The sequence below is a fragment of the Homo sapiens genome, chromosome 8 (assembly GCF_000001405.40).
Source record: "Homo sapiens chromosome 8, GRCh38.p14 Primary Assembly".
Lineage (NCBI taxonomy): Eukaryota > Metazoa > Chordata > Mammalia > Primates > Hominidae > Homo > Homo sapiens.
In genome coordinates this window covers 32,391,699-32,413,716 of record NC_000008.11, presented here as the reverse complement: position 1 = coordinate 32,413,716, position 22,018 = coordinate 32,391,699, and the positions used below count along the sequence as shown (strand labels likewise).

The following is a 22,018-nucleotide window of genomic DNA, read 5'->3' as shown; positions in this document are numbered from 1 at the left end:
CAATCATATGTTCCTCAGCAAATTAAAGCATCATTGTGAGGGAAGCATTTGAACAAAACTCCACTTTATTAGGTCTGTTTTCTGTAGTATATTTCTGTGGGGGAATGTGTTCTATAGAAGGCAGATTTCACTTTTAAAAACAGGGATGTGTGTAATCCCAGCGCTGAGATTACAGGCGTGAGCCACTGCGCCCGGCCTTTATTAAGGTTTTCTTAGTTTTTATCTAATCTCCTTTTTCTGCTTCAGAATAGAAGTAAAAATGGAATGCTACAAGCCTAAGGAAACATGGTAAAATGTAATTTCAGGGTCTCATCGAGCATACAGTATATTTAGTTACCATCTCTCCTCAGGCTTGTAACAGGCCTTTTACTCTCATCTATATAGCTTGAATGATTACCCAAGTAAATAAATAGTCCTTGAGGGCATGGTTTGTAATGAAGGTAGTATTTCACTGAGTAACTACATCATAGAACATTTAACCAATCGCCTATTATTGTTTAGCATTTAAGTTGTTTAGATATTTTTACTGTTATAAATGTTTTGCGATATATTTGAATACATCCATGATTATTACTTAGGGTAAATTCTTAGGATAAGATGGCTAGATCAAAGAATATGCACATGTTTCAGGCTTTTGGGACACAATTAGGAGAATGTGAATCAAACAGATGGAGCACGCGGTATCTGGGTGAATTCAGACTCCTTCCAGATGCAGTGTGTAGCTTTGGGCGAGGAACTTAACCAGTCTATGTATAATTTCCCAGTTTTAAAGTTAGGTTGATAATCAAAACAATAGTACCTATTTCAGAGGGTTTTTGTGAGGATTAAGTGTAAATGTATATATACAGTCATATGCTGCATAATGACATTTTGGTTACTGACACACCACATATACAACTGGTCCCATAAGATTATAATACCATATTTTTACTGTGTTTTTCTATGTTTAGAGACACAAATACTTGTCATTGTGTTAGAAATTGCCTCCAGTATTCAGTACAGTAATATGCTGTACAGGTTTCTAGTCTGGGAGCAACAAGCTATCCCATAAAGCCTCAGTGTGCATCAGGTTAGGTGTGCAGCAAACCATCCAGGTTTGTGTAAGAATATTCTATGATATTCACAAATCATGAAATTGCCTAATGACACATTTTTGGAATATATCCTATTGTTAAGTGACACATAACTGTATATTAGTCAGGGTTCTCCAGAGAAACAGAACCAATAGGATGTATCTGTTCATATATATATATATATATATATGTATATATATATATATATATATATATATATGTAGAGAGAGAGAGAGAGAGAGAGGAGAGAGAGAGAAAGAAAGAGAAAGAGAGTTATGACAAGGAATGGAATGACTGGAAAGTCATAAGATCTGCAGTCAGCAATTTGGAGACTCAGGAATGCTGATAGTGTAGTTTCAGTCTAAATCTGAAGGCCTGAGAACCAGGAGAGCCAATGGTATAAATTCTAGTCTGAAAACCAGTAGCCTCAAGACTCAAGAAGAGCTGATATTTGCATTTGAGCTTGAAGGCCAGAAGATTGATGTCCCAGCTCAAAGCAGTCAGACAGGAGTAGTTCCCTCTTACTCAGCCTTTTTGTTCTATTCCGGTCTTGATTGGATGAGGTCCACTGACATAGGGGAGACGAATCTGCTTTTCTCAATCTACCAGTTCAAATGTTCATCTCATCCAGAAACATTCCCACAGACACACCTGATTAATGGCTGGACAAATGTCTGGGACCCTGCGGCTTGGTCAAGTTCATACATAACACTGACTATCAGAGTACGCATGGTCCCCAACTTATGACAGTTCAACTTACCTATATTTTGATTTTATTTTGATTTTATTTTGATTTTTAGAATAAGATGGCTAGATCAAAGAATATGTACACGTTTCAGGCTTTTCGGATGCAACTGATTTTACACAAGGGACACATTGATTTTAGAATGGTGCAAATGCAATACACATTCAGTATGCTCTTTGACTTTTAATAGGGTTATGTGTGGATCAACTTACAATGGATTTATCCAGACAACCCCATTATAAGCTGAGGAGCATCTGTATTTACATAGCTTAGCATATAGTAAGCCCCTGTCCATAATGCCCTAATGAAGGTCAATTATGGAGCACACAATATTTTGAGATTAAGCTGATGACTGATAAAGAATATTCCTTTCCTTTATTTTAGAGCTTGCACCTCTTGGATAGAAAACTGGACTGAATTGAGGTACATGGCCTCAGCCTCTAAATTATGCAGAGGAAACTGTAGACACTCCTAATGGTGGATTTTGAAGTGCCATTATACATAGTACAAACATTATTTCTTTTCCTACTTTATAAAGTTTTACTCTACTTCTTCCTATTTTGTGTCCCACACCGTTAAGTCTCCATAACTCGAGAAGGGCCCATATGGGAGTTACAGGCCCCAGATTCTGGTTTATTCTGTAGCCTTGAATAAGTATGAACTCTTGGATAAGCCACCTGTCTTCTCAGAGTCTCTAGTTCCTCATCTGATAAAAAGTGTGGGCTGGCTGGGCGTGGTGGCTCATGCCAGTAATCTCAGCACTTTGGGGGGCTGAGGTGGGCAGATCAAGAGGTCACCAGATCGAGACCATCCTGGTCAACTTGGTGAAACCCTGTCTCTACTACAAACACAAAAATTAGCTGGGCATGGTGGTGCGTGCCTGTAGTCCTAGCTGCTTGGGAGGCTGAGGCAGGAGAATCGCTTGAACCCAGGAGGTGGAGGTTGCAGTGAACCGAGATTGCGCCACTGCACTCCAGCCTGGCAACAGAGCAAGGCTCCATCTCAAAAAAAAAAAAAAAATGTGGGTTGTGATCACTTAAGCCTGTTCACATCTATATTTCCATGGTTCTGTGCAAATATATAGATTTCCTTAAACAGGTTCATAACCAGAGAATAAGTGCCTTGCAGAAGGCTGGTGTCCCACTAAGAAGCAGACTCTGGGGACTTTCAGTAGTCAGGTGGGCAGATGAGGGGAAGGGACAGGTTAATTACAAGTCTAAAAGTGGTTAGTTTCTTTGTTGAAGGCAATACACTCTGGTGTGAAGAAGAGAAGAAGAAATGAAAGACTAATGGTCATGTGCTGAAAGTGGAATTCAGTGGGCAAGAATCATGCACCTTTCTAAGAATTTTGAATACTTATTTTCCTAAATTGTTCTCCAGAAAGTTTGTATAATATACATTTTGGAAGAAAGATTTTTGAGAAGATGCTTTTGGCCTGCCATGGTGACTCACACCTGTAATCCCATCACTTTGGGAGGCTGAGCAGGGTAGATCGCTTGAGCCCAGCCTGGGGAACATGCTGAGACCCTGTCTCTACAAAAAATGCAAAAATTAGCTGGGCATGGTGGCATGTACCTGTAGTCCCAGCTACTCAGGAGGCCAAGGTGGGAGGACTGCCTGAGCCTGGGAGGTAGAGGCTGCAGTGAGATATGATGATGCCACTGCACTCCAGTCTAGGTGACAGAAGGAGACCATGTCTCAAAAAAAAAAAAAAAAAAAAAAGGAAAGAAAAAGATCCTTTCCTTAGGGCAGGAATGGGGGTGAATCACTGACAACTTAGCCCAATCTCCTGTCTCAGTTTTTCTCCATACAGGGGGATATTGAGTCCTGCTGCCTCTGATTGTTGGTGGGATAACTGAAGAATCCTTTCAAGGAATAGGCCAAAGCTCCTTAGAGGCAGGGTTTGGAGGGGATGGCTTAAGCAGAATGCAGAGATAACGATGGTACACCCTGCCTGTAAGACACAGATGAAAGATGCATTGAAGAGATTCTCTCGCTGGGAGAAATCCATCAGCAAGGTTGCGGAGCATCTCCATCACCCTTCCAATTTGCTCTCATTACCTAGTTAATCCTCACTTAGTGCTTTCCTGTGAAGAGAGTCAATGTCATCACCCAGTTTGCACAAGAAGAAAACAGAGAGAAAAAGAGAGAGAAGTTAACTATCAAAGCTCATCTCTTCGTGAAGTGCAAATGGAAAAAGGTAAAGTATGACGTTAACTGTACCTGCTCTGTTCACTTTCCATTAACTGTACCTGCTCTGTTCATTTTCCATTAACTGTGCCTGCTCTGTTCACTTTCCACTGGAATCCTGGGTGTTGGCTCATGTCCTCATTCTGTTCTTAAAAACAGCTTCATAGGTTCTAGATATCTAGATATCAGCCCTTCATTGGATGTGTACTTTGCAAGTATTTTCACCCATCCTGTATGTTGAGTGTTAACTTTGTTGATTATATCTTTTGCTGTGCCAAAGCCTTTTAGTTTAATGAAGTCCCATTTGCCTATTTTTGCTTTTGTTGCATTTGCTTGCTTTTGGGGTCTTAGTAATGAATTCCTTCCCTAGGCAATGCCCAGAAGAGTTTTTTCTAAATTTTCTTGTAGGATTTTTATAGTGTCAGGTATTACATTTAAATCTTTAATTCATCTTGAGTGAATTTTTGCATATGGTGAGAGATAGGGGAACGAGTTTCATTGTTCTGCATATGGCTAGCCAATTTTCCTAGCACCATTTATTTGATAAGTCAAAGGACACCATTCAATCAATGGATGATTGAATCAAGAAAATGTAACGTATATACACCATGGAATACTACTCAGCCATACAAAAGAATCAATTCATGTCTTTTGCAGCAACATGGATGGACCTGAAGGCTATTATCTTAAGTGAAATAACTCAGAAACAGAAAGTCAAATATTGCATGTTCTTACTTATAAGTAAGAACTAAATAATGAGTACACATGGACATAGAGGGTGGAATAATAGACATTGGAGACTCAGAAAGATGGGAGGGTGGGAGGAGGGTGAGGAATGACAAGTTACGTAATAGGTACAAGGTACACTATTTGAGTGATGGTTACACTGAAAGACCAGAGTTATATCCATGTAACAAAACTGCACTTGTACCCGCTAAATAAACAGAAATTTAAAAACAGAAAAACTTAAAAAAAACAAACCCAGCCTTCTTGTTTATAAAATTTGTGCATTCCCTGTGTGCATTCAGGTATGAACAACCTGTTCTTTGTGGAAGCTCAACAGAGTCTTCTTCCCTTCTTAAAGTATCTTCCCCCACCATCATGCACAATCTTTTTGCAGTTTTTGGAGATTTCCCCCTCTGCAGTAGCCACCAGACCAAGCAAGCTAATTAAAGGTAATGAGCCCAGCAGGGATCTAAGTGCTTTCTCCCATTCCTTCCCCAAATAACTAGAGAGCTTCAGGGCACTAACTAACAGCTCCCATATGCTGAGGAATGGCTTCTCACTCTGACCTAGTCAGCTTGGCTCTCAGTCTCACAGTTCAAACTGTTCTTGAACTCTGGACTGGACTGCACATCTCGGCCAGCTGGCCCACCCTCCCTGACCACTGAGCCTGAGGGAACAGGGCAAAGAGGGCAAACAGCTTGGTGCAAGGTCATGATCAGGAAAACAGTTTAATGACACATGCTCATCACCCTGAGAATGATTCATTTTCCTATAAATAGAGAACACATGATCACCTTCTTATCACAGAATCCCCTTCCCCACTGCCTACCCCAAGTATGTTCAGTGACCTAGCAGTAACTTATTGTCTCAGAAATGACCCAAGCCTCTGATGAGTTATGGAGGAACATCTCTGGGCTTCAGAGCCCAGGGAGCACTCACTGACAATAAATGAGTTCCAGAAACATTTTGTTTGCAGGCATAAAAAGGAAATGCAGCAGGATGACTCTGTGGACTGAAAGTAAGGATTTGAACTTGGTGACTTCTCAGATTCCTTCCATCCTGATACATTCTGCACCAGAGTTTAATCAGTTACACCTCTCCTAGCAGTGAGCTGAGACCCTATAGTCAAATTCTTCTTTTTTGGAGCTACAGGCATATTTTGATTTTAAAAAATCATAGTGCTTCTAATTCCCTTATGATCAGAGCTTAGAGCAACACACTTCATAGTTGTTGTCAAGGCTGGAGGTAGGAATGCTCACTGTTTCTCCCTTTGCCTGATACTTTCAGCGAGGCTGTGTATGGCAGTGTTGGACATATGTACTGAAAGGGATACAGAGAGAGAGAGGTAAGGAGGAAGAAGGGCATGTCCACTTTTATTCTGGAGACAGAGGCACAAAAACACAGAGCAGTGTGTTACTTCTTTCTCTCCACGCTCTTTCCTCCAGCCTTCAATCAATTGATGTTAGACATCCCTCTTATTCTAAAGTAAAATTTTGGAATTAAGTATTGACTCACCTAATATGTTCTTCATTGTAAAGGACTAATGGATCCTACACTGTTCTTGTCAAAATGAATTCAATAGACAAGATTAAGACCAGCCTGGCTTTAAAACATATATAGAGAGAGCTACTAATAGATATATGGTTGGCCATATATATATATAATATATATATATATATATATATATAATATATATATATATATATAATATATATATACACACACACATATATATATAGTCTTCTACCAAATCATTGAATTGCGTCACAGAGTATCAGTGACCCTAATATTTGTACACTAATTTTATAGCTTACAAAGCATTTTCCCATATATTACCTCTGTTAAAAATTTTAAGCATTTCTATGAAATAGGAGAAGGGAATTAATATTACAGATGAGGAAACAGAGATCTGATTAAGTTACTTATATAAGAGCATACCCATGACTTTGTGACCCCAGGGCTAAAGCTGAATCCCACACTCTTCCCATGATAGCCTGATACCTTTGGATTTCAAAAGTTGAGTTTACACTAAACTCCCTTTCTCTCTCCAAACTTCTCTTTATTATAGAATTCGGTTTGAGATTGCCTTTGATCCCTGGCCACAAGGATTTAAGTTTGTTCATTTGCTGCCAGAGTTCCTTTCAAAACTGGTGACAAATTTCACAGTCAAGATATACTTATTAAGCAAAAATACTTATCACTAGCAAGGCAATCTTCTAAGCACTAAAGAAAACCGAAGATGAAGGCAGATCTTGCCTTTAAAAAAAAAGGACGAAGAGAAAGAATAAGACTTATGTATATATAATATTAAATATGAATAAACTTTGGGTAGGAGACATCAAAATCAGATTCCCCTATGGCTACTAAGTATCCACTTGCTTTGTGTTCTAAAATCTGACTAAATCTGTAAAAATAATTCCATTAAATAAATATATAAACTAGTGCACAGAAACAGAATTATAGATGAGAAAGTATATCAGGATATATACAGTGCTTGCACATACCAGGTAAAAATACCTAGTTTTTACTAAGCCCTTACTATGTGCCAGAAACCTAAGCATTTTTACAGGATTAATTTATTTTAATCTTCACAACAACCTTTGAATAAGGTACTATGGTTATTCCCATTTTATAGATGATAAAACAAAGGCATAGATATATTTAATCTTTTGTCCAAGACTGAGCAGCTCAAACCCACACAGTCTGGTTCCCGAGACCGTGCCCCTGACCATGCAAGATGAATTATCCCATGTAATTCTACCAATCTTATGAGAGACACTATTATGTCATTATATTTAAGATGAGGGCACTGAAGTTTAGGGAAGTTAGGGGGCTTGACAAAGAAGGAATGAACATGGAGCCAGTAAGTTGAGGAACTGGAATTCAAATCCAGGGTTTCCTTCTCCAAATTCAGAGATTTAGGACAGAGCTAACAATCAACCCAAAGACACATAGCCCAATTGCCCTGGCTGCGGAAGAGCTATCTTAGGATTACCTAAAATATTTTATTTTCTATGCGTCTTTTTTGTAACACTTGTCAATGACAAATTCACATTATACCATTAGAAAGAATTAGTGAGGATATTTGTTCACAGAGTCTCACAAAAATCAGATTCTCACAAAAAAGTAAATTTTTAAAAGCCTACTAATGAAATGAAAACATATAAAATATGTTAACTTAAATATCACTAAATTCAAAATGATATTAAGCAAATATATTCAAGAGGGCATTATGAAGATTATGGTAAAATACTCATGATTGTAAACTGAGATTTGAAAATTGTATAGGAATAGTTTCATAAAGATTACCTGATTATCATAGGCAATAATTACATGGGGTATCTGGAATTATAAATGAGCATTTTGTCTCTACATGACTGTACAAGTGTGGGTAACCAGTTGTTTGGAGAGAAAAAAAAGAGAGAGAAAGATCAGACAAAATCAAGCATCTGTGTTTAAATATTTCTAAGAAGGATATTTGTTTTATATTCCCAAATTACTCATCTATGTATATAACAGATATAAATTTCTCCCCTCTGCTGTTGGAAGGCTTTAGTTGCAAAGGCACAGAAGAAGTCACCATAGTACTTGAAGCATTTGCTTATTTAATATTAAACAGGCTTGGTGGCTTCAAATGGGAGTAGGAGAATAAATTACAGAAATACTTGCAAATAACCTAATCTGCAAGTCCTTTAATTGAATGGAGAGTGAGGAGTGAAATGGACCAAGGAAAGAAGTGACCTAAGAACAAGAGTTTGAGGCTGGTATCTGGTTTCTTCCTTGAAGAGAGAACACATAACTTCCTTTCTTTCCTCCAACTGGGTTTGCACCTAGCTTAAGGTGGACCAGAGGCAACAGGGACAGCCTGGATATGGCAAACTGGCAAATTCAGATCTGTATGGTGCCCCATTGCATTCCTTTGTAATCACTGCAATTTCTCCATGTTTGATATTTCAACTGTTCCTTTTAGTGATTGGCGGTACAACCCCTGACGTGAAAAGAGCTTTTTGCTCATCCTTAGGAGCAACTGGGAGGGAAAGAGGAATATCATGTCCCCAGCCACAGCGAACATGGAAGAAGTTTTAAGATGAAGATGAAGGCTGGGCACAGTGGCTCACATCTGTAATCCCAGCACTTTGGAAGGCCAAGGCAGGTGGATCACTTGACATTAGGAGTTCAAGACAAGCCTGGCCACCATGGTGAAACCCTGTCTCTACTAAAAGTATAAAAATTAGCTGGGTGTGGTGGTGCAAGCCTGTAGCCCCAGTTACTAGGGAGGCTGAGGCAGGAGAATTGCTTGAACTCAGGAGGTGGAGGTTGCACTGAGCTGAGATCATGCCACTGCACCCCAGCCTAGGCCACAGAGCAAGACTCCATTAAAAAAAAAAAAAAAAAAAGATGAAGAAGAAAACAGAATGAGTTTCTGAGACACTACAAAAGAGGAAGCATGAAAAAGGTTCTGATGGGGTTGAAATGGAGGTGTGAATGCTGAACAGCAGCAGCAGGTTCCCTCATATATTCATGAACCGAATGCATACCAAGCAGGGTGCTAGGCACTGAAGACACGATGATGAATAAAGTAGGCATAGCCTGTGTCTTCAGGGAGCTTACTGTCTAAGGACACTAGGCATTGAAGAGAGGTATATAAAATACATGAGTGTGCAGATCAGGTGGTTGCTATGGTTCCTCCTTCCCTGATTTTTGTCATTACCCCCGCCCCTTTGCATCCCAAGTTTTGGCATTGTGGGTACCACTGCAGCTGTGGAACTGCACAGCACTGAGATCATTTTCAGAGGCATGTCAAGCACCTGCAGGTGCAAAACAGGAAAACATTTCTCCAGGGTCTTCTCTCTTCATCTGCTTCTCTTTAGGCACCTAGGTGACCAGGACCTTCTTTATCCCCACTGCTGGTCCAAAATCTGCTATCACCATTGCTGGGGTATATTTATTAAATGAAAAGTGTAAGGTGCATGGTAATGCATATAGTAGGTGAACATTTGTTTTTTGTTTTTTAAAGGCACTACCTGCTTGGGAAGGTGGCAACAGAATCTGCTCTTGCCTCAGAAGAGGAGTGGGTGGCTAGAGACAGGGATGGGAGAGAAGGGAGAATTTACTGTTCATATTTTTGTACTTTTAAAACTTTGTACCATGGGAAGACAAAACAAATTTCAAAAATATCAAGATCTCTCCTCATTATGATCCAAAAATGTACCTTCCTTCTTTCCTCAATGAACTCTCACTCTCTAGGATGTCGATCTGATTAAAATAATTGCCACTTAAGTGTAAATTTTCCATAAAAACAGAGGTGATGTGGGTGGGTACTATCTATATCTCAAAAAATGTGAAATTTTTGAAACATGAGCGTATAAAGGAGACTTTCGAGCAGGGAGGGATTCAGATACTCTATTTAGAGAAGGCTTTCCTTGTCAGGTTCAAACAGACTTGGATTTGAATAAGCTCTTTTATCTTATAAAAGTGAAAATCTATAAGACTGTGCAACTAGAAGCAAATTTCTTAAGCTTTTTGAGAGTCAATTTTTGTATCTTGTAAAATGGGGATAAGAACTACTTCATGGGATTGTAGTGAGGAAGAAATAACAGGAAGGCTATCAAGTGCCTTGCACACAGTAGGTGTTCAGTGCTTGCTCATTTCTTTTTTCTTTCTTTTTTTTTTTTTTTTTTTTGAGACAGAGTGTCGCTCTGTCGCCCAGGCTGGAGTGCAGTGGCATGATCTCGGCTCACTGCAACTTTTCTGCCTTCCAGGTTCAAGCAATTCTCTGCCTCAGCTTCCCAAGTAGCTGCGATTACAGGCACCTGCCACTGTGCCTGGCTAATTTTTATATTTTTAGTAGAGACGGCGTTTCACCATCTTGCCCAGGCTGGTCTTGAACTCCTGACCTTGGGTGATCCACCCGTCTTGGCCTCCCAAAGTGCTGGGATTACAGGTGTGAGCCACTGTGCCCGGCCAGTGCTTGCTCATTTCTTTCTTGGCTTCTGTGTTTTTATTTTCCTCAACAAGGCTGAGGAAAAATAATGTAAGTGATGTAAGGATACGAAAATACATAGAGTAATCCCCCCTTATCCTCAGGGGATACATTCCATGACACCCAGTGGATGCCTGAAACCGTGGGTAGTACGAAACCCTTTATATACTATGCACAAATATCTTTTTTCTTCTTCACAGTTCAACAGATAGAAGATCTAACAACTTCAGCATTCAATGTTTTTCTTTCCTTATTAAGAGTTTTCACTCAAAGGAAGCACTTTAGGGCTTCTCTTTGGCAGCTCCAAATCTCCAGCATTGCTACTCCTGTGCTTTGAGGCCATTAGGAAGTAAAATAAGGGTGACTTCAACACAAGCACCCCCATACTGCCATGGTCGATCTAATAACTGAGAGGGCTACTGAGTGACTAACAGGTCGGAGGCATAGACAGTGAGGAACTGCTGGACAAAGGGGAAGAATTCATGTCCCGCATGGGACAGAGTGGGACAGGGCAAGATTTCATCACGCTACTCAGAATGGCATGCAATTTAACACTTATGAATTGTTTTTTTTTTAAATTTTCCATTTAATATTTTTAGACTGTGGATAAATGAAACCAAAGAAATCAAAGCCACGAATCAGAGGGGGCCCACTGCACCTATTTCCTTTCATTTTATTGAATGGCTTTGTAAGAAGTTCAAGGCTGATGAGAGTGACAGGGTGTGTTAGATAGACAATGAGCTACAAAGGGTAAGGAAAGTGTTTTCTCTTTTTAAAAAAACTTTTAGGCCAGGCGTGGTGGCTCACAACTGTAATCCCAGCACTTCGGGAGGCCGAGGTGGGCAGATCACCTCAGGTTAGGAGTTTGAGACAAGCCTGGCCAACATGGCAAAACCCCATCTGTACTAAAAAATACAAAAATTAGCCTGGCGTTGTGGTAGGCGCCTGTTGTCCCAGGTACTCGGGTGACTGAGGCAGGGAGAATTGCTTGAACCAAGGAGGCAGAGGTTGCAGTGAACCAAGATCGCGCCACTGCACTCCAGCCTGGGCAACAAGAACAAGACTCTGTCTCAAAACAAACAAACAAACAAAAAAACCAAACAAACAACTTTTATTTTAGGTTCAGGGGTACATATGCAGGTTTGTTATACAGGTACCCTTGTGTCACAGGCATTTGACGTACAGATTATTTTGTAACCCAGGTATGAAGCATAGTACCTGATAGGTAGTTTTTCTGATCTTCTCCCTCCTCCCACCTTCTGCCCTCAGCAGACCCCAGTGTCTGTTGTTCTTCTCTTTGTGTCCATGTGTTTTCTTTGTTTAGCTCCCACTGATAAGTGAGGGCATGTGGTATTTTGTTTTCTGTTCCTGTGTTCATTTGCTAAGGATAATGGCCTCCAGCTCCATCCATGTTTCTTCAAAGGACATGAACTCCCTTTTAGCTAAATTCAGCCTATTTCATCGAATGACTATAGAATGCAAAGCCTTTTTTTAAGTGTTAGGGACATAGCAGTGGACAGAACATGAAAATCCTTGCCCTCATGAACCTCTAGTGAAGGGAGACAGACAATGAATAAAATAGATAAATGATAAGTGCCAGAGAGAAAACTAAGGAACAGGGAATGGGGTACTGCCAGAAAGCAGGGCACGTTTGCAGTTTTATTTTTTATTTTTAAATTTTTATGTATTTATTTTTTAACTTGTATTTTAGGTTCAGGGGTACATGTGCTGGTTTGTTATATTGGTAAGCTGCGTGTCATGGGGCTTTGGTGTACAGGTTATTTCATCGCCCAGGTAATAAGCATAGTACCCTATAGGTATATTTTCTGATCTTCTCCCTCCTCCCACCCTCCACCCTCAAGTAGGCCCCAGTGTCTGTCGTTCCCCTCCATGTATCCATAGGTTCTCATTGTTTAGTTCCCACTTATGAGTGAGAATATGCAGTATTTACTCTTCTGTTCCTGTGTTAGTCCGCTTAGGATAATGGCCTCCAGCTCCATCCATGTTCCTGCAAAGGACATGATCCCATTCATTTTTATGGCTGCATAGTATTCCATGGTGTATATGTACCACATTTTCTTTATTCAATCTACTGTTGATGGGCATTTAGGCTGATTCCATATCTTTGCTATTGCGGACAGTGCTATCTATGATGAACATATGTGTACAGGTGTCTTCATGATAGAACAATTTGTATTCCTTTGTGTACATACCCAGTAATGGGATTGCTGGATTGGATGATAATTCTATTTTAAGTTCTTTGAGGAATCGCCATGCTGCTTTCCAGAACGGCTGAACTGATTTACAGTCCCACCAGCAGTGTATGAGCGTTCCCTTTACTCTGTCAGCATCTGTTATTTTTTGACCTTTTAATAATAACCATTCTGACTGGCGTGAAATGGTATCTCATTGTGGATTTGATTTGCATCTCTCTGATGATCAGTGATATTGGGTAATTTTCCATATGCTTATTGGCCATGTGTATATCTTCTCTTGAAAAGTGTCTGTTCGTGTCGTTTGCCCAGTTTGTAATGGGTTTGTTTGTTGCTTGTGAATCTGTTTAAGTGCCTTATAGATTCTGGATATTAGGTCTTTTAAGTTTTAAATTAAGTGATCAGCCTCCCAAGTAGCTCAGACTATAGGGTTGCACCACCACACCTGGCTAATTTTTGTATTTTTGGTAGAGACAGAGTTTGCCACGTTGGCCAGGCTGGTCTCAAACTCCTGACCTCAAGTGATTCACCCACATTGGCCTCCCAAAGTGCTGGGATTACAGGAGATGTTTAGTTTAATAAACTATGCTTTCTACATAGATATTTGAAGCGATACTACAGATTTTAGGCTCGGGTTAATGTAGGATTCTGACTATCCAGCATTTCCTTATTAACGCAATGGCAGCCTAAGTATTTATGTTCCTAAGTAAGAAAATATCCAAGAAACTGGTATTGGTACCTCAAAACAATTTATGGACTGCACTGCTATAAAGACCCTCATGGGTGTGAAGAGGTGCAGAGAGGTGATATGGGGAGAAGGCAAGGAAGCTTCCTGCAAAACAAAGTCTGCAAGGTACTTAAACTTACATGTACTTGAAGAATGAACAGCTTTTCTCTTTCCAAACCTATTACTTTCAAATGCAGAAGACATGGAAAATTTAACACTTCTGGAAATCATAAAAAAGAACACTGGCTTATACCCTATAATACCTGATATTTGATAATAAAAAGAATTACAGGAGGGAAAAGTCTCTACACAAAGTTATGACTTTTTTTCTACTTTTCACCCAAAACTTTTCTTTTGAGACAAAGTCTCTCTCTGTTGCACAGGCTGGAGTGCAGTGGAGCAATCTCTGCTGACTAATACCTTTGCCCTGGGGTTCAAGTGATTCTCCTACCTCAGCCTCCCAAGTAGCTGGGATTACAGGCACTTGCCACCACACCTGGCTAGTTTTTGTATTTTTAGTAGAGAAGGGGTTTTGTAATATTGGCCACGCTGGCCTCGAACTCCTGACCTCAGGTGATCTGCCGCCCTCTGCCCCGCCTTGGCCTCCCAAAGTCCTAGGATTACAGGCGTGAGCCACCACATCCCCCTAACCCCAAAACTTTTTTAAAAGTCACTTTGGGATGAAAATCAAAATCACAGATTATCAGTTGAGTCGAGGGAAATTTTAAATACGTGTCTCAGAAAAGACAAACAGAAGGTTCTAATTACATTTTTAAAGACACATAAAATTAACGTGTTTTACCTTATATCAGAAGTTTGAGACTCTTTTATATTTCCTAATTAATCCCCCTCAATGTGTTTCATCACATGCTAATGAACCTTCCTCAATAGGAGGGACTCTAATGAAAAAATAATCAGGGCAAGATATATGAGATTTGCCTGTTTCTGTTAACTATTTTCAGTTTTTTTGGCTTGAACTTCTTGACATCTCTACCTCAGTCCACAAAAACAGCCAATAAGTACTACATTGTTTTATTTTTGTACATTCGTACAAAATAAATGAGGTTATTTTAAGCAAAGATTATCAAACAAAAAGGTTTCTATGATATTGCAATATATATAATCTCAAAAAACTCATATTCTGCAAAATCACATACTGTATAAACAGAACTTATGAGAAAAACTGCAGAAGGGATATATCACTTAGAACCTATAAAACTTTGTAAAGTCCAAACAAAAATGATAATTGATACCTCCCAATAATTGGGAGATAACTTGCACCACCCAGGCCAACTGTTCAGCATGGCAGGAGGCTACCACAATGGATGTTCTAAAAAATATTAGAGGCTGGGTGCAGTGTCTCACACCTGTAATTAATCCCAGCACTTTGGAAGGCTGAGGTGGGTGGACCATCTGAGGTCAGGGGTTCAAGACCAGCCTGACCAACATGGCAAAACCCTGTCTCTACCAAAAATACAAAGATCAGATGGGCATAATGGCGGGCACTTGTAATCCCAGCTACTCGGGAGGCTGAGGCAGGAAAATCGCTCGAACCTGGGAGGCAGGGGTTGCAGTGAGCCAAGATTGCACCATTGCACTCCAGCCTGGGTAACAGAGTGAGACCTGGTCTTAAAAAAAAAAAAAAAAAATTTGGGTGGAAATACAGGTAACATGTTAAACAGAGCTGCACTGATGAGTGCTCAGACAATAAATAAAAACAGAGTGCTCAGCCAGTGGGGTTGCTGTGAGGGTGGTGGCAGGGAAGGGAGACCTGCTGTAAGCTATGAGCCGTGGAAGGCTGCGCTGTACAACTCTTTAGAGGAGGGGCTGAGCTGTGGACTTTTCTTTTTTTATTTTTGCTGGAGATTATAATTTTACTCCAGTAATCTGGCTTCTTCAGCCAAGAAAAATCCATATATAAACTAAAGGAAATTCTGTGAAATAGTACTATTTCCCTGCTCAACAATCACATACCAACTAATTCTCATTGCAGAATCAGGTGTTTGTGTATATTAGAGCAGAGCAGACTGCATAAAAAACCAAATACTTCACAGAATAGATTTTTTTCTCTAATGAAGGGACAATGATAAGAAAGTGAAAACACAATAAGTGTGCAGTTTGGAAGGTACATGTCTTTAACAAATTCATGCTTTTATTTCCAAACATAATCAGATGGATGATACTTTAAACATGCCAAAATAATGGTATGGAAGACTAAGACAAAGAAAGAATGTCAACTTGCTTTCATGTAATTTAGAAAATGCATAAAAAACCTGCAATAGACTGGGTATCACTGAGGTGAGTGCTGGCTGGGGAAGAGGAGGGTGTGTTTCAGAACCGGAATACACATGGTAACCAATGACTCATCCATTGATTTTAATAATATTATAAATGAATATAGTGATGGTCACTAGGACAAATAGTCAGAAACTCCAAGTAGGGTGAAAACCAATATCCACACACCCAATTAGAGGAAAATGTGCTCTCATTTACTGGTACTGACTACATCTTATGAATGGTCTTTTTTTTTTTTTTGATGTTAAGTCAGATTGCCTCCATATATAACATTAACAAACATAAAAGAGTATAGATACTTGGAAATCACAATATGTCAAATATGTTGTTCAAAATTTAAATACATTTATTGAGTATTTATTATGTACAAGGCACCAAGTTTTTATACATATTAACAAAACTAACATCCCAATAACCTCATGAAATAGATTTTATTATTATTTTCATTTTACAAATGAGGAGACTGAGGATTAAAAGTTAATCAGATTTTCACTCTGGTCAAGATAGAGTAACAGGGATCCAATTTGTCCTTCTATCTGAAACAACTAAAATAATAGAGAAAATATATAGAAAAATTAGCTTTCCAGGCATTAGATATCTATAGATTATCTATCTATGTATCTATCTACCTATCTATCTATCTACCTACTAATCTGCCTACCTACCTATTTATCCATCTCCTATTGGTTCTGTTCTCTGTCAAACACTGACTGATACAGACTTTGATGCGAGAAAGTGGGGTACTCCTCTAACAAACACCTAAAGATGTAGAAATGGCTTCGGAATTGGGAAATGGATAGAGGCTACAAGAATTTTAAGGTGAGTAATAGAAAAAATATAGATTTCCTTGAAGAGAAGCTTGGTAGAAATGTGGACATTAAAGGCAATTCTGTTGAGAAGAGACCTCAGATGGATGTCAGCATAGTAGAGAAAGCTCTGTAATAGAAATAAACAACTTGAAATATAAATTAATAAAACAATGTCATTAATAATAGCATCAAAAATATGTACTATTTGGGCCAGGCACAGTGGCTCATGCCTGTAATCCCAGTACTTTGGGAGGCCGAGGGAGGTGGACCACCTGAGGTCAGGAGTTCAACACTAGCCTAACCAACATAGTGAAACCCCATTGCTATTAAAAATACAAAATGAACCGGGTGTGGTGGCTGGCACCTGTAATCCCAGCTACTTGGGAGGCTGAGGCAGGAGAATCGCTTCAGCCTGGGAGGTGGAGGTTGCAGTGAGCTGAGATTGTGCTATTGCATTCCAGCCTGGGCAACAAGAACAAAACTCCATCTCTAAATAAATAGATAAATAAATGTACCATTTGGGCGAACTCTGACAAAATATATACAAGATCTCTATGTGAAAAACAATTGTTGAAAGAAGTTTTAAAGAACCAAAATAAGTTGAGAGATAAGACTCAATATTAAGTTGTTAGCTTTCTCCAAGTTGATCTTCACATTCGTGAGAATCCCAATCAAAATTCTAAAGAACTTTATTTTGGTATTAGAAATTGACAGGTTGATTTTAAAAGTCCTCTGAAAATACACAGAACCTGCAGTAGCCAAAAAAAATGTCTAAAAAGAAAAACATTGGGGGACTTAATTTACCAGACTTCAAGATTTATTATAAAGCTAAAGTCATGATGACAGCGTGTTACTGGTTTAAGGATAAGTATATATAGATCAATAGAACAGAATAGAGATACCAGAAATAGACTTACACATAGTCAATTTATTTTTAACAAAGCAGCAAAGGTAACTCAGTATAAAAAAGATTATCTTTTGGGCAAAAGATGCTTAGGATGCTTGGATATCCACATGTAACTAAACTTTGATCCATAACTTGCACCATATATAAAAATTAATGTAAAATGGATCATAGACATAAAGGTAAAACCTAAAACCATAACATGCCTAGAAAAAAATAGGAGAAAATCCTTGTTATCTTGTTTGGGCAAAGTTTTCTTAGCTACAAGACCAAAAGCACAATCCAAAGAAAAAACTTGATAAACTACACTTCAACAGATTTAACATCTTTCCTGCAAAAGATACTGGTAAGGGAATGTAAAGGTAAGAAACAGACTGGGAAAACACACTTGTAAACTACATATCTGGTTAAAAATGTTTGCAGAATATGTAAAAAAAAAAAAAGTTATAACTCAATATAAGAAAACAAACAACCTAATAAATGGGCAAAAGATTTGCATAGACACTTTAGCAAAGAAGACATACATATGCAAATAAGCTCATGAAAAGATGCTCAATATCATTAGTCACTAGCGAAATGCAAATTCAAACTACAATGAGATGGCACTACACACAGATTAGAATGTCAAAAATTAAAAAGAATGAATACGCCAGTCATTGCATGATAAGGATTATTGTAATTCCCAGACACTGCTGTTGGGAATGTAAAATAATTCAATACTTTGCAAAGTAGTTTGGCAATATTTAAAAGTGGTACACATGTACCTACCCTATGACCCAGTCCTGGTTCTACCACTTACTAGTTGCTTGATCTTACATGAATAAACTGTTGTTCACTATGATTATTGTTAATAATAAAAATCCCTGCATTAGCTCATAAGCTCACTCAGGCTGCATTATCCACATAGTACTTTGTATATACAGGAAGGGGACGTGAAAAAGGTCACCATTATTTAGAAAGTATTACATATGGAATTGAGGACGATCCTCAGGTCGCCATGAGATGAAATATGCATTCCTTGCGTTCTCTTTTGCTGAGAGTGACAGTAATTGTAGAGCCCATTCCTTATAGCCATTCTTCTCACCACTGATTTCATACTATCTGAAACCATTTTGTTAGCATGACAATACTTCCTCTTGTAAAAGGTGCCACATGAGGACTTACCTATAATGAAGCACAGCAAGGCTGAAAAAGCGATCTTCTTAATGCTTTGTCACCCCGTAAAAATGACACTTCTGTTTTTTTGTTGAAGGATTTGCCAAATGGAAGGGGCTAAAAGTCAATCTCACTTGAAGGCCAAACTGAAGTCAGATTTTATGAAGGGGGAGAAGGAGAACAAAGAGGGTAGGGAGAAAGACGTAAGTTCAAAAATGTCCAGTTGTGCTTGGTCTCGAGCAAACAACCACGAGGTAAGGGATAAGTGATCCTTGAGGATTTAGAATGTTTTCTTGGTAAATCACTCTGTGAAAACACCCCCAAATTCCAAAAGAAGGAAAAGGCTGAAAGAGGAGAATTTCCACCAGCCCCAGATTGACTTTGTAGGTTGCTGTGAAGGATTAGGCAAAATCTCAAGGGACTTGCAAAATGTCAGTCCTGTTTGGTTGTGCCTGTTTCAAGGGACTAAAGGTTAGTGACAGAGAAGACGTAGATAAAACGTGGCTTAAGTGATACAAAGTGGTAGACAGAGCTGGGAAGGGAGGTTGAGGAGCTGGATAACAGGAAAGAATTATAACAAATTTAAGAATATCTAAAGAGCATTGTCTCTCCTGATTTATAAACCAGCTACTCAGCATGGAGATGGGGGCATGGTATAGTTCTGTTTTCAGTGTAAGTCCACACAGTGACAGAGGTAAAGATAAAGGTGAGAGATAAAGACCAGATATAGATTAAAGCAGGAACACAGAGTTTATTCTAGACTGCTATTAAGTGCTCACTGTGTTACTGTTACATTAAAGGAAGTAGGAAAACAAGAGCCAAAAGAGTGGAGGAACCAGGCAGAGTAAAACATATTTAGAAGGAATAAGAGATGCACGATAAGGCCTACAGAATATAAATATTAGGACAGAGCAGATGGGAGGAATATAAAATAGCTGGATGAAGGAAATGAGGATGATGACATATCATATTTAACACTGGAGACCAAGTTTATTTATTTATTTAAACTTTTATTTTAGGTTCATGGGTACATGTGCAGGTTTGTTATATAGGTAAACTTGTGCCATGGGGGTTTGTTGTACAGACCACTTCATCATCCAGGTACTAAGCCTAGTACCCAACAGTTATTTTTTCTGATCCTCTCCCTCCTCCCACCCTCCACCCTCAATAGGCCCCAGTGTCTCTTGTTTGCCTCTATGTGTCCATGTATTCTCGTCATTTAGCTCCCATTTGTAAGTGAGAACATGCAGTATTTGGTTTTCTGTTCCTGCATTAGTTTGCTAAGGATAATGGCCTCCAGCTCCATCCATGTTCCTGTAAAGGACATAAATTTGTTCTTTTTATGGCTGCATAGTATTCCATGGTATATATGTACCACATTTTCTTTATCCTGTTTACTGTTGATGGGCATTTAGGTTGATTTCATGTCTTTTAGATTGTGAACAGTGCTGCAATGAACATAAGCATGCGTGTGTTTTTATGGTAGAACAGTTATATTCCTTTGGATATATACCCAGTAATGGGACTGCTGGGTTGAGTAGTAGTTTAATTTATAACAGCAACTAACACAAGCTTCTGTTGAGACTCAGACAAGAGAATAATTTTCTCCTAGTGGGACAGGAAATTGTGCCTCTTTATACAAAAGTCTCATTCCCTGTAAGAGGAAGATGGTATTTTGTGGCCTGTGGGAGAAAAAAACCATGTTTTCTGTCTTTCTCCAAATAATAAAGTATGCCATATTTCACCATAAAAAGAGGAAAAATATAAAGGTTTTTGTTGTTGTTGTTGTTGTTTTTAAAGGCAACATAGTACCTGATCTCTCAGGTGTATGGTCTGGGAAAATTACCATGTTCTCAGAAATCTCTGAAAAGATGCTCAGTAAAAACAACCAGTAATGAAGTGGTCAGTGTGAGGGCAGAGACAGTGGGACAGCCCTGCTAGGCCTGGCATAATGGGAGCAGTTACTCTACAATCCCTGGATCCCAAGGGCTCTCTCTCTCTACCCCTCCACTTGAGCATCCTTCTGGACTTAAAACACATGTACTTGCTGACTGACTGGTTTCCCATAAAAACTGATCCTTTGTTTGTTTTAATTAAAAGATTTTTACTTAAGACTCATTTTATCACTCCCAAATCATCAAACACATCATGAGGCCCGAAACTGTGTAACTAAACAACACTGAAGTACTAACGTGGAAATTAGCAAATCTGTATTATCAAGTAGATCCTAAAATTCCCTCTGCTGGATAATATTCCAAAGGACAGAAATAACACTAGGAATCTTTCATATAAAATACAGCTTAAAGCAAAAGGCAATTAAATGGCACTATTTTGATAAATAGATGATAATGGTATAATTGGACATATTAAAGTAAACCAACATCAACAACAACTCCTTCATTTAGGAGGAACATGGAGATGCGAAAAAAGGGAGGAACATGTAGATTTGCCAAATGGCATACAACATTCAAAAAGTACTGCCTTCCCATGTTTTTACTCATTTCATGTTGATGAGCTATATGCCAAAATTACTGCTTTTATGGGATGTAAGAATCCTTAAAAGTTTACATTTGCTTGTAAATGTTTCAATAAAGGGCTTTACTAAATTAAAAGGATTTAGAGGAAGAATGCAATTCCTGTCTCAAGCTGCTGTCAGAAGACAGGTTTACAATGACTCCTAAAGTCATCCTTCAGTTATATATGGTCCCCTTATTGGTGGCATCTAATCATAGTGCAGGCTGCTCTCTTCATAATGGTGATCGCCAGCCTCTCAGCTTTTCCTAAATGTTATTTCAATTTTTTTCCCAAATGAACCACCTCAGTTCTATCATTAGCATAATGATTTATAAGAGTAACTTGTGGCATTAAGTGCCCAACTGCTCTTTTCCTTCAGAGCCTGTGGCCATTTTTCAAAAGTTTTAATATTTCCTAAGGATCTGTGAATCTGTCTCAACATCCACAAATTCTGTTCACATTTTTAAATAACTATTTTAAGTTGACTGAATTATCCTTTGGACTCGAGAAAAGTACATCCAAAATATCAGCAGCTGATCTTTCCCCTACTTAGTGATTCTGTGGGTTATTATTTTTGTCAATTAAAAAATATATAGGAATCAACCTAAATGCCCATCAGTGGTGGACTGGATAAAGAAAATATGGTACATATACAGCATGGAATACTATGCAGCCATAAAAAAG

General features: G+C 38.8%; 1 protein-coding gene across 10 annotated transcripts in view, besides 1 other annotated feature; it reads right to left on the bottom strand.

The window, feature by feature from the left end:
• The window catches only part of NRG1 (neuregulin 1), a 1,134,802-nt gene that overhangs the window by 360,330 nt on the left and 752,454 nt on the right, over nt 1–22,018 (bottom strand). The window lies entirely within an intron of this gene.
• Nucleotides 4,953–5,535: an enhancer, noted in NCBI's record as "NANOG hESC enhancer chr8:32265698-32266280 (GRCh37/hg19 assembly coordinates)". NCBI's record gives its function as "activates a minimal SCP1, AML or CMV promoter by ChIP-STARR-seq in naive H9 embryonic stem cells {active_cell/tissue: H9 hESC(naive)}" and the evidence as "EXISTENCE:reporter gene assay evidence [ECO:0000049][PMID:30033119]".